Raw genomic sequence first — 17,322 nt, 5'->3', positions numbered from 1 at the left:
TTAGGCAGAGCAATCAGGCTGAAATCAAGGAGGTTCTTACTCAAATGTGTAAGTGATGTTTCTTTTCTGTTTTCATGCAGTCAGTCCTGCACCAACATTATCAGCTAAGTGGGTAGCTGTGAGATAGCCTAGAAAAGTCATCACCACTTACAGCATCATTTCTATAGAAAACGGCCAATCTATAGGGACACAGCCTGTGTTTAAGTAGCAGTCTACCTGATTAATCTACACAAATGAGATTGCACTATTGATATGTAATAGTGAAGGAGGGTTGTAGGGATGTGTGATGGTGAGATGTGTCTAAGAACACTTCCCCAGTGTGGGAATACTGGTCGGAACTGTAAAGAAGATAAAGTGTGGATGGTTCAGGGAAGGGAGAACAGGAGCCAAGTGGTAAGGAGTCTTAAAACATACGATTTCATGTTTAAATTTTATTTCCTGCAGAAACCTCAGGCTTGCAAGCCAGTACATAAAATTATTTGAATGAAGCTCTACAAAGCAGCCCCTTGATGCTGTGGTAGACCCAAGAGGCAGGGAGGTTGATGATTTAGGCCCTTAGTGAAAGTGGAGAGAGTGCTGGAACCAAGCCACACAGATGGGGAAAAATTGAGTTGTCCTTGGCATCAAAATAGTCCAGAAGCTGGTAGGGGGAAAAAAGAGGAAGATGAAGAAGATAAAACAGCAACTCCAAAGCTGTAAGACAACAGGATCTTGAAGCTAAATGTTGTTGAAAAGAGTGAGAATTTTGAGGCAAGTGAGGACAAAGCGGTAGAACGTGCATTTAATACTAGATGTTAAAGGAAATCATAGCAAAGTTTTCCCTGGAATCAGAGGGAAGGAATTCAGACTGGAGGAATAGGGAGCTTTCTCCACCTCCAAATTGGGTACAAACACCCCAAGGTTGAATATTTCAAAAAATATATTTATCTGGGAATTATAGAACTCAAGAGGGCCACAGAATAAAATCTTAGCTGTAAAATGGCAAGAATCTCTCAGCTCACAGAACTTTTTCTATACTGGAGCCACTTGCATTTGCATTTACTTTGGAATTTAACACTCCACCTGCTTTCAAAGATGCCATCTACTCGGATCCTCTCAGGAGGGCTAAGTTTTTAGGTCCCTTTCAGGAATCAGAATCCTGCTCAGGAAGAAGCAGCGATCTACCCACGGACAGAGAAGCCAGCAATGGAGCAAAAATTAGAACCAAAATTCCCAACCCCCACTGTCATACAGGCAGAAATCCTGTTCCTTGATCTTGGAAGAAAAGTACAGCACACCTTGCCAAAGCCTGAAACATACATAAACATAACGGCTGCAAGATGCTTTTCCCCCAGCAACTTCCAATATCATTTCAAAAATACTTTAGCTTTACTTCTGATGCAGGCAACTAATGGATTCCAACACTTCCATTTTAAATTTTTTCTGCTTTTAAATCTTGATATCAAGCACTAAATGGGCTATAACCCAATACTCACATGCACCAGAGAACTTTAACAAGACAGCTCTCATCATTAAGCTAACAATCCCTCCATACCAGCATCACCATCGTCACTTCTACTGACTCACTGCTTAATGTCCTAAATGAAGATTTCCCTCTACTGAGTTTTCTTATGCTTTAGTAATAGCTGTACTATAACAAGTACTATTTACAGATTTCCTATGCTGAAAAGGCACTTTACAAGTATTATCTCACTTAATCTTCATAACAAACCTTTGAGGTTGGTGCTTCTGATAACCTCACTTAACACAAGAGGAAACCAAGGCCCAGAAAGGATAAGTAAACCCGCCCCAAATCACACAGCTGGTAAGCAGCAAAGCTTAGATTCATACCCAGTAAGTCTAACTCCAGAGCCTTCCCTCAGCCACCTCACTATTCTTACAGAGTGTACTGGACTCATTTTTTCCAAAATCTATAATGAAATCAATCCATTAGGAAAGCTAGAATATAAGTGGTCTAAATGTAATAGAATTTTTAAACGTTATGCATAACGTTAGACACTCTCTGATAAAAAAATTTAAATCAATAAAATGTAATCAAAATACACATGAAATATCTAACTCACATACATTCCTTAAAAGATTTACTGAAAAAGGCAAACTAAACCTAACCGATTTACCTTGGAAATAAGAGGGGAAAGTCAGCAGTTATGCAGAGATAAGAGTAAAATTGAAATAGCTCTAAATTCAGGAACAAATGAGCACTCTGGAAACCACAAGCAATAAAAGTGAAAGAAGCACATGCCCACTGAAATGACAACGGCTTTAAAGAAAATGAAATAGTAGTGCAATATTCTAGCATATTCGGAAAAAGTGGTATGAGACTTTTGCCTTTTCCAGGGTCCAATTTTCATGAAACTGAATCCCATTTTGTAGACTCTAAATTACATGATTTTCTCCAAGAAAACCACCAAGTCCAGATTCCCATATCACAATTCTCTCCAAACCCCACTTGAGTCTTTTTTTTTTTTTTTTTTTTTTTTTTCTGAGACAGAGTCTTGCTCTATCCCCCAGGCCGGAGTGTGCTGCCCCACTAATTTTTGTGTTTTTAGTAGAGACTGGGTTTTGCCATGTTGCCCAGGCTGGTCTTGAACTCCTGGCCTCGAGTGATCCTCCCGCCGCAGCCTCCCAAACTGCTGGAATTACAGGTGTGGGCCACTGTGCCCAGTCCCCATTTAAGAGTCTTACAAAGACTTATTCTTCAACCCACATAATACTAAGAGGAAACACTTCTCCAAACCCAGAAAGGTTTCACCAACACAGAAGAATGACTAGATAGACTGGAAGAGGTGCACTGGAGTGGGGAAAAAAGTCTAATTACAGAATAGTTTAAAATATATACCCACTACTTCCACATCCGCACCAACATATTATGTATTAGTTATGTATTGCTGCATAAGAAACCATCACAACATGTGATGCCTTAGAACAATGAACATTTATTCTTTTTAAGGATTTTGTGGGATGGCAGTCTGGACAGTTCTGTTCATGTCCCTCCTGAGGTCACTCATGTGACTTCTGTCACCACACAACTCCACTGGGGCTGGAGGGGGCCATGATGACCTCATGCACATGTCTGGCATTTGGCGCCAGCTCACACAAGTCACCTCCCTTCTCCCCCAGGCCAGGGCTCCTCCTCTGGTAGGCTAGACTTGGCTTTTTCACAGCAGTGGGGTTTCAGGGTTCCAAAAGAACAGAGGCAAGAGGTGCAACATCCCTTAAGGACCAGGCTCCAGAGTTCACAGAACACATTATTGGTCAAAGCAAGTCCAAAGACCAGCCCGGATTCAAGGAGGAGAAAACAGACCATACTTCTTTATGGGAGGAGCAGCAAGGGTACCTTAGAAAGGGGTGGGCACACATCTAGCACACCAGGTATATTATAAATAGTTACTAATCAATAAAATCTGGAAAATTAGTTGAAAAGCTACCTTTCACAATGGATCTTTATTACATAAAATGTCACAAAGGTTGTTCCCTACCTTCTTATATATGTAATGGAAAAAAAATATGTTCCCAAATCAGAATTTCAAAATCAGTGGAGTCTCTATTGCCTTTTGGTCTCATCTCCAGCCAGTTTGGGAATTCCTTTTATAACAGCCTACTTGACCATTTCCAGTAACATTACAAGGCAGAGAAACTCTGTTCCTAAGCAGTTCTTGCTTTTGTTGTTGTTTTTGTTTTGAGACAGGGTCCCACTCTGTCACCCAGGCTGGAATGCAGTGGCGTGATCATAGCTCATTGCAGCTCCAAACAGCTCTAACTCCTGGGCTCAAGTGATCCTCCTGCCTCAGCCTCCCAGGTGCACACCACTGTGCCTGGCTAGCAGTTCTGATTGTTGTGTTTTTCCTTGAAATCTACCCCGTATTTCTAAAAAATACAGATTTCTAAAAAAATACAGGGGTGGATTTCTTCTGCCACCAGTCCTCTTCTACCTTCTGGAACTAAAGGCATGGAGACAGCATAGTGTGATATGGTTTCAGGGGTGGCTCTGGAGTCAGAATGCCAAAGATTGAATTCCAGCTTTGCTGCTTCATGGTTGTGTGACCTAGGACAAGGTGCACAACCTCTCTGAGCCTCAATTTCCTTATCTGTAAAACACAGTAATAGCGAACCTCAGAAGATTGATATGAGGATTAAGTGAATTTATAAAATGATAAAACAGTGCCTTAGGCATAGTAAACTCTGAAATGCTTATTTTTGTTGTTTTTAATGCTATTACTATTATTGAGTATGCTTAAAAAGGCTTTTTTATTCTTTCCAATAATACTCGTTCAAATGTTTAAAGATAATTAATGCCATCTACTCCATCCAAACCCTCTTCCAGACCAACATCTATGATTCCTTCAACCATTACTTCAATGACTTGGTTCCAGGCTCCTTTTTGAAACAAGGTCTCACTCTCTGTTGTTCAGGCTGGAATGCAGTGGCACAATCTTGGCTTACTGCAGCCTCAACTTCCCAGGCTCAAGCAATCCTTCCATCTCAGCCTCCCGAGTAGCTGGGACTATAGACAAGAGCCACTACACCCATTTTTTTTTTTAAATGGGGGCGGGTCTCACTATGTTGCCCAGGCTGGTCTTGAACTCCTGGACTCAAGTGATCTTCCCACCTACACCTCCCAAAGTGCTGGGATTACAAACATGAGCCACCATGCCTGTCCCCAGATCCTCTGCCTGTCAGTTGACTCTGTATAGTACATTTACCTAAAACTGAACCCAAAGCTCCAATTGTGTCAGTGAGAGGAGGACAAGACCATCACTTTTCTTTCAGAAACTGCACTCAAATAATATCTTAGACCCATGTCTTCATTCAACAAATACGAATGAACTTCTACTGACAACCAGGAAGTGTGCTCTTTGTGAAGACAAAATAGATCCCCTCTGTGGGGTCCACCAAAGATGGGTCCCCTAGAAGTGTCCATGTCCTCAACCCTGGAACCGTGACTATGTTGCCTTACACAGCAAAAGGGATTTTGCCAATATGATTAAGGATCTTCTGATTGAGAGATTAGCCTGGATTATCTGGGTGGGCCCAAAGTAATCACAAGGTTCCTTACAGGAGGGAAGCTGAAGGGTCAGAGACAGAGAGGAAATGTGAGGTGATGATGGAGGCAGAGGTTAGAGTGGTGTGCTTGGAAGATGGAGGAGGGGCTCCTGGATGAAGGAATCTAAGAGTCATCTAGAGGCTGGAAAAGGCAACGACAACAAAAAGATTGTTCCCTAGAACCTTCAGAACAAATGAACCCTGCTGACCCATTTTGGACTTCTGACATCCAGAACCATAAGGTAATAAATGTGTGTTTTTTGAAGCCACTGAATTTGTGTTAATTTAGTTCAGGTTTAATAGGAAACTCATATGCCATCCCTGCCCTCAGTTAGTTCATGGCCTTATGGGAGGAAAGTACCTAACTGAAAGGATTTATAGAAAACAGATTGTTTTTTAATCCAATGGTCATAAACTTTTAAAACTTAAATTGGAAGAAAAGTTTTTTAATCCAGTGGTCATAAACTTTCAAAACTTAAATTGGAAGAAAATTAAATCTGAAAACAAAAATTTCTACTTAATACTCCCTTAGCTTTTCTAATTTCCCCCCACACTGATATCAATCTTATAATCAAACATAACTCTAAGTCTTTTTATATGAAATTCCCTCAAGCCAGATCTCTGCCATTAAAGATTGGCAAAAGGGAGTCAATTATATAAGTCCCTAATTCAAAAAAAAGCTACTGATGTGATATTGCATTCTTTCCCCTGAAAATTCTCAACCTATTTTAAGCCTTTTTAATCAGCAAGGCTTGTGCCCACCACATCTTACACTCCCCAGCCTGGGAGCATCAGAATGAACCTAACTTTTTACAAGATTTTAAGTAAACTTTATTACAATACACTTAAATGAAGAAAAAACCTTAAGGCTTCCTTTTTCTTATTTTTTATTTTTTTCTTAAACAGGGTCTCACTCTGTCACCCAGACTACAGTGCATGGCATGATCATAGCTCATTGCAGCCTCAAATTCCTGGGCTCAAGAGATCCTCCTGCCTTAGCTTCAGGAGTAGCTGGGATTGCAGGCTCGCATCACCACCCCCTGCTAATTTTTTAGTCTTGTTTAGAGACAGGATCTTGCTATGTTGGCCAGGCTGATCTCAAACTCCTGGCCTCAAGTGATCCTCCCTCCTCAGCCTCCCAAAGTGCTGGGATTACAGGAATGAGCCATCATGCCCAGCCCTTAGGGCTTTCAAGAAGTGGAAAGCCTTATGTAATTACCAAGTAATTGTCACTGAGATAAAAACTGCACGCCAGGCCAGAGGCAGTGGCTCACATCTGTAATTCTAGCACTTTGAGAGGAGGAGATGGGTAGACTACTTGAGCCTAGGGGTTCAAGACCAGCCTGGGCAACATGGTAAGACCCTGTCTCTAAAAAAAAAAAAAAAAAAAAAAATTAGCCAGGCACAGTGGTGCATGCCTGTAGTCCCAGCTACTCAGGTGGGCTGCAGTGACAGGATCGCTTGAGCCCAGGTCAGGGAGGTTGCAGTGAGCTGAGATCACACCACTGCACTCCCGCCTGGGTGACAGAGCGAGATCCTGTCTCCAAAAAACAAAAGAATGCCTCAGAAGCCCCTTCTGCCCTTTCCTAGTCACTAACTCCATCAAAGATGACCACTAGCCTAACTTCTACCACCATGGTTTATTTAGTTGTCTGGTTTTGAACTTTACATCAATGGAATCACATTGCATTTACTCTTTTACATCTATCTTGGTTTTGCTCAGCTTTGTGTCACAAGATTCATCCATGTTATGTGAGGCAATAATTTGTTCATTCTTATCACTGTACCAATTAGTGCTTTTTGTGGCCTATTCAAGAAACCTTGTCCCTAGGTCATAAAGATATTTTACTTTGCTTTCTTCCAGGTGCTTTGTTTTAGCGTTCACATTTAGGTGTATGTTGTTATCTTGATTAATTTTTGTATATGAGATGAGGTACATGATCTAGATTCATTTTGTCTATGTGGATAGTCAATCGACCCAGTGTCATTTACTGAGAAGACCATCTTCTCTCCACTGCCCTGCAGTGTTGCCTCTGTCATAAATCAAAAGACCACAGATGTATAAGCCTGTTTATGGATTCTTTACTCAGTTCCATAATCTGTGTAGCTTTATGCAATACCACACTGACATGACTACATATTGATCTAGTAGCTTAGGTCCTCCAGTTTTGCTCTTAAGACTGTCTAGAATTTCCAAATAAATTTCCAATCTGCTTATCACCTATTTTTGAAGAAAAAATTTGCCGGGATTTTGATTGGGATTGGCCCGAATCTATAGATTTGCAGAGCAATACCTTACCCTCTGTTATTTTAAATCTAATTTCTCTCAATGCTCCAGCTTGCAAAGAGGCTTTTTTTTTTTTCATCATGAATGGGTGCTGAGTTGTATCAAATACTTTTTCTCCTTTACTTCATATATGGAGTTAAATTGCATTTGTTGACTTTCGTAGTGTTAGCCAAAGTTTACATTCCTGAAATAAATCCAACTTGGTCATGATTTATTATCCTTTTTATAGATTGCTAGATTTGACTTACCATATTTAAGACTTATGTGTCTGTCTTTATGAGCATTTGGCCTATAATTTTCTTGTAATATCCTTATCAATTTTTAGTAACAAGATTGTGCTGGCCTCATAAATGCAACCGGAAAGTGGTTCCTCTTTAATTTTCTTAAATGTTTGGAAGTTTCACTAGTAAAGCCATCTGGGCCTGAAAATTTTGCTATGGAAAGGTTTTTAACTACAAATTCAATGTTTTTGGTAGATATAGGACTACTCATTTTTTCTAGTTTTTGTGTCTTTGGTAATATATTTTATTGGAAAAACCTGTCAATTTCATCTGAATTTTCAAATGTATTACCATGAAATCGTTCATAACATCTTAAGAGCTTCTGTCTGTGGGATATGTGATAGTAGTTCATTTTTCTTCCCTGACACTAATAACATCATCTACCACTAAGGTTCATTTCTATTCGCAAAAAAAAAAATAAAAATAAAAATAAAAAAATAAAAAGGTAGGGTGTATACACTATATGACATACATCCACTATTTCAGGAATATTCTCCAACCATATTACCCACAGAAGGAGCAGGGCAGGTAGATTATATAAACAATCCAGCAATCCCCTCTCAAAAGCTTTCATCAAACAGAAACAACTGTGAACCCGGGCTAAAAAGGGGAAAACTAACTGAAGGAGAAGGAAACTGCTATCAGTAATGCACTAACAGGCTGGGTGTGGTGGCTCATGCCTGTAATCCCACCATTTTGGGAGGCTGAGGTGGGCAGACGACTTGAGCCCAGGAGTTTGAGACCAGCCTGGGCGACATGGCGAAATCCCTTCTCTGCTAAAAATACAAAAATTAGCCAGGAATGGTGTTGCATGCCAGTAGCCCCAGCTGCTCAGCAGGCTGAGGTGGGAGCCTGGGAAGTTGAGGCTGCAGTGAGCTGTGATCCAGCCTGGGAAACACAGGAAGACCCTTTCTCAAAAAAAAAAAAAAAAAAAATGACACGCTAAAGTGGCCAGCAAGTACTTAGATGAAAAACAACCACTAAGTAGGGTTGTATGTAACCCAGGATCCCCAGCCCTCCACTCCCAAGGTGTCCATAGAGAGAATTCAGGGGGACATGAGCTCAAATATCTTTATTTTCATGAATTTCTGGCTGAAAATTAGCATTTCATTGGATTATAGATGTGGACAACGACTCACAGTAGTAAGAGCAGTTCCAGCCAGATGTAATGGCTCACACCTGTAATTCCAGCACTTTGGGAGGCCAAGGTGGGCAGATCACTTCAAGCCAGGAGTTCAAGACCAGCCTGGCCAACATGGCAAAACCCTGTCTCTACTAAAACTACAAAATTAGCCAGGCACGGTGGTGAACATCTGTAATCCCAGCTACTGGGGTGGGTGAGGCATGAGAATTGCTTGAACTCGGGAGGCGAAGGTTGCAGTGAGCCGAGATCATGCCACTGCACTCCATCCTGTGTGACATAGTGAGACGCTGTCTCAGAAAAAAAAAAAAATCATAGTAGTAAAAGCAGCTCTGACGAATGTCACCAGTAAAAGTCAGATACTTTCATACTACTGTGTAGCCTTTGAAAATACTACAAAATACCATTTACATGGGCATCACTACTTTGAAATTACAGGAGTTACTTGCTACTGCACTGAATTTTGTTACTTACTGCATTGATAAAGAAGTACATATACTCATACATTTGGAGCTTTTTTAGTTTTTTCATTTTATTATTATTTTTTAAGAGACAGGGTCTCACTCTGTCATGCAGGCTAGAGTGCAGTGGCCTGATCATAGCTCACTGCAGCCTTGACCTCCTGGGCTCAAGTGATCCTTCCTCCTCAGCCTCCCAAGTAGTTGGGACTACAAGTGATGCTAGCACTGGGGAGTGGCTGCAAATACAAATTAGCATTAAGAGGGAGGTTTGACTACACAGAGACCATAATAAATCAATTGCTTGCAGACTCATATCAAAATCCTATCAGTGAGTGTCAAGTAACAAGTAGCTTAATGCTGCCTGGTGGCAGGCTTTATAGTGGCAAGTGAGTTGATGTACTTCCATCGTACAGCTGCATCTGTGGGCAGGCTTTCAGTCAGAATCCGACACTTATTTTAGTCCACTCATGGCCCGCCCATTATTTACCACTTCCAGGTGTGCCTGTTTCCTGCACTGCACATTTGTCTCAGTCACAGTTTTGGTAAGCCCACAAGCTAACCCTAGCCGAAATGAGTAAAAAACAAACATCACTGGTAAGCTTCTTTGAAAAGGGGGAAGACCCAATGATGAGACAGAAGACTGTAAGATTGCCAACAAAAAGCAAGCTGCATTTAAAAGAAAATACCAGGAGTCATACTCAAATTACAGGTTCATTGCAACAGGTGACTCACATTCTCCAAGCCCACTTTGTGTAATATGTGGCCACTGGCTATCCAATGAAGCCATGAAACCTTCAAAACTGCTTCACCACATGGAGACCAAGCACCCTGCATTAAAAGACAAGGCTTCGGAGTTTTTCAAAAGAAAAAACATAAGCACAAAGAACAGAAGCAATTATTGAAGGCTACCATTTCATCAAATGTGTCTGCAATGAGAGTATCATTCTTAGTGGCTAACCGTATTGCTAAAGCTAAGAAGCCCTTTACTATTGGTGAAGAGTAAACTAGGCGAATTGAAATAGCAGCGGATATTGAGGCACAATTGGTAGAGAGGATTAATGAGTCACTGCGGTACGCAATCTGGGTTGACTAGTCTACCAGTGTTGACAAGGCAACAATGCTTGTTTTTTTGTGATACAGTTTTCAGGAGGATATACATGAAGATGTTAGGTGCACGAGGATATGTCACTTGCACTTTTGTTGCTAACCAACACCACAGCTGCACAACTATTCAAGTCTTTGAATGATTACCTATCAGAAAAACCGAATTGGTCCTTTTGGGTAGTATGTGCTTGGGCAGAGCGACTGCTACGACTGGTTTCACTACTCGGGCCAAAGAGGTCACTTCTGAATGTGAGTCTATGCACTGTGACATCCATAGAGAAGTGTTGGCTAGCCAAAAAATGTCACCTGAACTTAAGAACATTTTGCAGGATGTGATTAAAATTATCAACCACATTAAAGTACATGCCCTTAACTCACATCTGTTCACACAGCTCTGTGAGATGGACATAGAGCACACACATCTTTTATACACAGAAGTGGGATGGCTTTCTAAAGATAGATCACTGGCCGGAGTTTGAGTTATGAGGGCCACTCCAGAGATTTCTTCTAGAAAAGTAGTCACCACTGGCAGCACATTTCATAGAAGGGGTTACAAAACTTGCTTACTTGCTTACCTCCTCAATGAACTCCATCTGTCCCTTCAGGGGAGAACTGTGTTCAAGTCGGCAGATAAGTGGCTGCACTCAAAACCAAACTGGAATTATTGCGGCGACAAGTGAACACTGGGATTTCTGACACGTTTCAAACATTAGCAGAGATTTTGAAAGAGACTAAGCCAGGGCCTTCTCTCTCCCAGCTGGTGCATGATCACCTATCTCAGCTTTCAAAAGAGTTTGAGCATTACTTCCCAACTACAAAAGACACCCGAACTGGGAAGGATCCTAGATCCATTTGTGAATAAGCCAGGTGAATTGACTTTGTCCATGCTAGAAGAGGACCAACTGTTTGAGATAGCAAATGACCGGGCCCTAGAAGTATGTTTAAGACAACTTCAAATATCCATACATTCTGGATTAAAGTCAAGGCAAAGTATCCTGAAATTGCCACAAAAGCACCGAAAAGCCTGCTTCCATTTCCAACATCCTATCTTTGTGAAGCAGGGTCTTCTGCAGTGACAGCAACCAAAATGAGACTATGAAGTAGGCTGGACATAAGCAAACACACTTTGGGTGTCAATGTCTACCAACACACCCCCCCAGATGGGACTGCCTAGTTGCAGAAAAACAAGCTCAGGGGTCCCACTGATTCTACTCTATGGTGAGTTGTATTCATATTACAATGTAATAATAATAGAAATAAAGTCCACAATAAATGTAATGCAGGTGGGGCATGGTGATTCACACCTGTAATCCCAGCACTTTGGGAGGCCAAGGAGAGGATGGCTTGAGCTCAGGAGTTCGAGCTCAGGAATTTGAGACCAGCCTGGTTGACATGGTGAAATCCTGTCTCTACTAAAAATACAAAAATTAGCCAGATGTGGTGTCGCATGCCTGTAAGCTACTCCGGAGGCTGAGGCACGAGAATTGCTTGATCCCCAGAGGTGGAGGTTGCAGTGAGCCAGTATCGTGCCACTGCACTCCAGCCTGGGTGACCCAGCGAGACTCTTGTCTCAAAACAAATAAATAAAATAAATGTAACGTGCTTGAATTATCCCAACACCATCCCCCTTCCCCCAGTCCATGAAAAACTTATTGTCCATGAAACCGGTCCTTGGTGCCAAAAAGGTTGGGGACCACTGCTTTAGGGAACATTCCCCCTGGGCCAGGTCCTAAGCTGGAAGCAGGGGGTGCAGGTAAGGCCCATGCTCGCAAGTTCCTGATGCTACCTACAGAGCTCCCACCAACATCTGGCCACCCACAAAAACGGCTGCTCCCTCCAAAGAATTGACTTTCACCCTAAGTTCATCCATCTAACCTACTTCCAAGGAGGGGGCAAAGTAAACAGTAGATAAAGCACAGGCGTTGATCCAAAAGAGGAGTCCAAAACCCGGCCCTGACATGTACTAGTTTGTGGCTTTGGCTCCCCTCCAAGGCTTTCTCTATCCTACTGTGAAAAGAGATAACAACACTTATCTTTCCCAGTTACTGTAAGGTTTAGAAATAATGTATCTAAAGCACCTAATAAGCACACAGTCTCCTTAAATTAACATTAATTGAATCTCTCAGGTCAGAGCTGTCCTTATCAAACAATCACAATTAGGGACTGACTGGCAACGAGAAAGGAGGGAGAAAAATCACAGGGAAAATGGAACATGAGGAATGGAAGGGGAAAAAAATCATTCCTCAAAGTCTCCTTCAATGAACTACCGCCTCTTCAATGAAGCCTTCCCTCTCCTCTCCTTGCATTCCCATAGCACTTAATCACATTGAAATAGGTCCTTAGCTCTGAGAATGAATGAGATGCCAGGCACGGTGGCTCACGCCTGTAATCCCAGCACTTTGGGAGGTCGAGGTGGGCAGATCACCCGAGGTCAGGAATTCGAGACCAGCCTGGCCAACACGGTGAGACCCTCGTCTCTACTAAAAATACAAAATTAGGTGGGCGTGGTGGCGCATGCCTGTAATCCCAGCTACTCAGGAGGCAAGGCTGGAGAATCGCTTGAAACCGGGATGCTGAGGTTGCAGTGAGCTGAGATTGTGCCATTGCACTCCAGCCTGGGCGACCAGAGCGAAACTCCGCCTCAAAAACACAAACAACAACAAAAACAGAAAGAGAAGCAATGTCTCACTCCCACGTAATGCAAACCTCTGAGGATGCCAAATGCCCTAGCCCTACAACCCTGATCCAAGAGCAATGTACACAGGTAGCAGCACATTTCTTAACACCAATGCTACCCGTAAAGTACCTCTGGTGAGGATTAGCGGGAGGGTTTTTCCGCATAAAGACCTGCCACCTGAAGGTTAGACTCAGAACAGAGGAAGAAAACTGAGTCCTGAAGATAGAACGCAAAGGAAGTCTCTAACTTTAGAGTCCCTGGAGTCACAGCAGGCAGGCAGGCGCACCGCCGATACTGCCAAGAGGACCAGAGTTCGCAACTCCCCGCAGCAGTTCCGGAAGCTGGGGACGAAGCCAAGGAGAGAGGACGTGGGCAGGGCCGTGCGCGGACTTGTCCCGGCGCCTAGATCCCCGCCTTTGCCCGGGCGCACTGCGCGCGCGGCCCCCGCCGCTTTTGTCTTCTTCGCCCGACCGGGAACTTCCTCTGTCCCGCCCTCGGGCGCGCACACGGGAACTTGGGTAGGAAACGGAAAGCGTTTTGTGCATTTTTTTTTTAACAGAGTAAACTGACGCAGAAAATTCAGCATCTAACCTCCCCAGGACCCCCTATGGTCACCAGTTACCAACCTCCGGGCTGTCCCGGGCGGCGGCGACGGCAACGTTCACGCGCGCCGCGAGTTCCCAACACCCCTCTTTCGGCACTTCCGAGTCCCAGCGACATCGGCGGCGGCTGCGGGCTTCCCCGGGACGCCACCCTCTTTCCCCCGGAGCTGCCCTTTGGAGGAGCAGCGCAGCGCGCGTCCTCCGAGCACGCCCCTGCCGCCGTGCCCGCGCGCCCTCCGCGCCCGGACTCGGGAACCCGCGGCGCTCTCCGGGCGATGGCGAGCAGGCCGTGCTGCTGCAGGGGGCGGGCCAGAGCGCGGCCTGCGTTTCTGAACCGCGTTTGCCCCGCCGGCGGCCCGGGGCCCCTAGCCCCGCTCACCCCTCGGCTGTTGGTTCCCACTGACCCTGGCGTGCATATCTCTCCCCCACCCGTGTGTTCATTGCAGGTCTGGGGCTGCCTGCAAGTTAATTGCAGAGTGGAAGTCACCTGAAACTCGAGGTGGGCCGTCATTCCAACACCAGTGGTCCCCACCTACGTTTTGTAGGCGAAAGGAGGTAGTTCGGTGCGGTGGAAAGAGGGTGGGCTTTGCAGCCCTGGCAGCTTCGAGGGCTTACTGTGTGAACTTAGCCCCTGTGAGCCTCCCTGTACACCTCTGTAAAACAGAAATAGACTTCCCTGCTTTTCTTTGTAAATTAGAGTGAAGATCAAATAGAATAAACTTTATGAATTGTAAAGCAACTTACAGAGATCACTACTGCAAAATGGGTACGAAGATTTTGATTGCGTTGTGAAAAGAGTGGAAGATCTGAAGATGCTCCAACGGGGTATAATTGGGACGATGTTGCTGCTCGGAGGCCTCCAAGCCTGAGCCAAGAGACAGGCTTGCCAGAGTTCTCCAGACTTATCTCAGCAGAATCACGTGGCTCTCATTAAAACCTCGGGCTTCTGGATCCCTCCCCAAACCAAAAGCATCAGACTGTCCATGGCAGGGGCGTCTCAGGTGGTTCTATGATAAGGTGAAGGTGGATAACTCTGCCCTAGGCAGCAGGGAAACTCGGAAGCTGTGCTCTCAGAAATTTCATCTAGCAGTCATTGTAATGGTCGAGAGGATTATTTTAATGATTTTAGAATTCTCCAGGAAACCAGAGTATGAACTCTCCAAGAGCTGGAGCTATCTTTTCTTTCTGCTTCCCCCCAACCCACTCACCCCAAAACCTGGTACTGGATGGTGTTCAGTAAGCAGGTGTTAGTAAACTAGCCCCAAATAGGAGTGCCAGATTTAGCAAATAAAAATACAGCATACTCAATTAAAATTGAATTTCAGGCTGGGCGCGGTGGCCCACGCCTGTAATCTCAGCACTTTAGGAGCGGTAGCAGGAGGATCACTTGAGGCCAGGAGTTTGAGACCAGCCTGGCCAACATGGTGAGACCCCGTCTCTACTAAAAATACAAAAATTAGCCGGGTGTGGTGGCCTGCACCTGTAATCCCAGCCACTTGGGAGGCTGAGGCACGAGAATCGCTTGAACCCGGGCGGCAGAGGTTGCAGTGAGCTCAGATCGCACCACTGCACTCCAACCTGGGTGACTGAGCCGGACTCTGTCTCAAAAAAATAAGTAAATAATTTCAGGTGAACAATATGTAACTTTTTAGTATCACTATGACCCATGCAATATTTGGGATATACTTATTTTTTTTAAGTACTTACAGGAAGCTTGTAATCCCAGCACTTTGGGAGGTCGAGGTGAGTAGATAACTTGAATCCAGGAGTTCGAGACCAGCCTGGCCAACATGATGAAACTCCATCTCTACCAAAAAAAAAAAAAAAAAATGGTATATCTGAAATTCAAATTTACATCCTGGGTATCTGAAAATCAAACTTAACTGGGTATTTTATCTGTCAACTCTAGATCCAAGGGTTTGGCAGAGGGAGTGGCAGAATAAGAACTCAACTCAGGTAGTGTCAAACTCAGGGACAGGGATGTGATAACAGCTCCTATATTATTTCTAAAAGATGCTGTTGTTAATATAGGTTCAGTGTGATTTACACTTAACCCCTGTCTACATATGCACTTTAAATTCACCGGCGAACACAAAGGAGATAAAGGCAGATTTAAACACAGGCAATCAGAAACATCAAATAAAAATAGCCAAAATTTATGTGTGTGTGTATATATATATATATATATATATATATATATATGTATGTATTAGAGACAGTCTCACTGTGTCACCCAGGCTAAGCACAGTGGCATGATCTCAGCTCACTGCAGATTCAAGCAATTCTTGTGCCTTAGCCACCTGAGTGGCTGGGATTACAGGCAAGCACCAGCCACCACACCTGGCTATTTAGTAGAGACAGGGTTTTGCCTTGTTGGCCAGGCTGGTCTCGAACTCCTGGCCTCAAGTGATGCACCTGCCTCAGCCTCCCAAAGTGCTGGGATTACAGGTGTGAGCCACCATGCTTGGCCATAATAGCCAAAATTTAAAGATAAGCAATAGACTGGGATATTTGCAAGAAATTTGCAAAGTGTTAATTTTAAAATTATATATAGAGTTAATACAATCAATAAGAAAACATTAGAAATCAATTATAGATGAGCAAGACACATTTATAGACAACCCACTAGAAAAAGGAGGAGGGAAATAAAAGTAGGAAACAAAAATATATTGCAAAAAGCTCAATGAAATGCATAGTAAAACAAGAACATGGTGGCTCACGCCTGTAATCCCAGCACTTTGGGAGGCCAAGGTGGGTGGATCACGAAGTCAGGAGATCAAGACCATCCTGGCTAACGTGGTGAAACCCCGTCTCTACTAAAAATACAAAAACAAAATTAGCCAGGCATCGTGGCGGGTGTCTGTAGTCCCAGCTACTCGGGAGGCTGAGGCAGGAGAATGGCGTGAACCCGGGAGGCAGAGGTTGCAGTGAGCCGAGATCGTGCCACTGCACTCCAGCCTGGGTGACTGAGCAAGACCCCGTCTCAAAAAAAAAAAAAAAAAAAAAAAAAACAAGAACACACAATTTTCACACATTAAGTTGGCAAAAAATTAATAAATAACATTACAGCCTGGCATGGGTGCTATGTGATAGCACTCACACACAATGTTTAGTTGGGTAAGCAATTTGGCAGTATGAAAACTTAAAATTTATCAAAATCTAAGGGAGGTGGGGCAAGATGCCAAATAGAAGCTTCCACCAATTGTCCTCCCTTCAAGAACAACAAAATGAACAACTATCAACAAAAAACACCTTAATAAGAACCAAAGATCAAGTGGGCCATTGCAGTACCAAGTTTTAACTTCATATCACTGAAAGAGGCACTGAAAAGCGTAGAGAAGACAGTCTTGAATTGCAGACGCTACCCCTCCCTCATCCTACAGCAGCAGCTGGGGAAAGATTCTCTCAGATCTTATGCAAGACCACTAAGGTGGTACCTCTGAGTCTGCAAGAGCCGTAGCATTCCTGAGCTTGAGGTGCCCTCTAATGCAGATATGATGGCAGTGACCCAAACCTAAATGACAACACCCAAGTCCCTTAGAATACCTGGAAAGCCTTCCCAAGAAGGATGAATACAAACAAGCCCACCCTGTGAAGACTACAATAAGTACCTAACTCTTCAATGCCCAGACACTGACACACATTCACAAGCATCAAGACCATCCAGGAAAACATGACATCACCAAACAAACTAAATAAGGCATCAATCCCAGAGTGACCTTTCAG

The 17,322-nt window shown here is 43.6% G+C and overlaps 1 protein-coding gene across 18 annotated transcripts in view, besides 4 other annotated features; it reads right to left on the bottom strand.

Moving 5' to 3' along the window:
- The window catches only part of HHAT (hedgehog acyltransferase), a 348,963-nt gene extending 333,566 nt beyond the window's left edge, over positions 1-15,397 (bottom strand). For 9 of the 18 annotated variants that reach the window (NM_018194.6, NM_001170588.3, NM_001170587.3 and 6 more), the window contains exon 1: positions 13,621-13,823. Coding sequence is in view for 9 of the 18 variants with exons in the window: in NM_001170587.3 (NP_001164058.1) it covers positions 13,621-13,714 (94 nt within the window). In the remaining 9 variants the exon portion in view is untranslated. The other 9 variants (XM_006711441.4, XM_047424805.1, XM_047424817.1 and 6 more) reach the window with 6 other exon arrangements.
- Positions 11,965-12,134: an enhancer, noted in NCBI's record as "experimental_3018 CRE fragment used in MPRA reporter constructs". NCBI's record gives its function as "activates a minimal promoter by MPRAs in K562 erythroleukemia cells, with activity observed for the introgressed 1:210504020 variant allele {active_cell/tissue: K562}" and the evidence as "EXISTENCE:reporter gene assay evidence [ECO:0000049][PMID:34662402]".
- Positions 13,247-13,606: an enhancer, noted in NCBI's record as "active region_2478". NCBI's record gives its function as "activates an Ori minimal core promoter by ATAC-STARR-seq in GM12878 lymphoblastoid cells {active_cell/tissue: GM12878}" and the evidence as "EXISTENCE:reporter gene assay evidence [ECO:0000049][PMID:35858748]".
- Positions 13,767-14,016: a silencer, noted in NCBI's record as "silent region_1779". NCBI's record gives its function as "represses an Ori minimal core promoter by ATAC-STARR-seq in GM12878 lymphoblastoid cells {active_cell/tissue: GM12878}" and the evidence as "EXISTENCE:reporter gene assay evidence [ECO:0000049][PMID:35858748]".
- Positions 14,481-14,650: an enhancer, noted in NCBI's record as "experimental_3009 CRE fragment used in MPRA reporter constructs". NCBI's record gives its function as "activates a minimal promoter by MPRAs in K562 erythroleukemia cells, with activity observed for both the introgressed and non-introgressed 1:210501504 variant alleles {active_cell/tissue: K562}" and the evidence as "EXISTENCE:reporter gene assay evidence [ECO:0000049][PMID:34662402]".
- Positions 15,398-17,322: the final 1,925 nt, after the last annotated feature.

This window comes from Homo sapiens, chromosome 1 (assembly GCF_000001405.40).
Source record: "Homo sapiens chromosome 1, GRCh38.p14 Primary Assembly".
Classification (NCBI taxonomy): Eukaryota; Metazoa; Chordata; class Mammalia; order Primates; family Hominidae; genus Homo; species Homo sapiens.
This window is presented reverse-complemented; position numbering and strand designations above follow the sequence as displayed.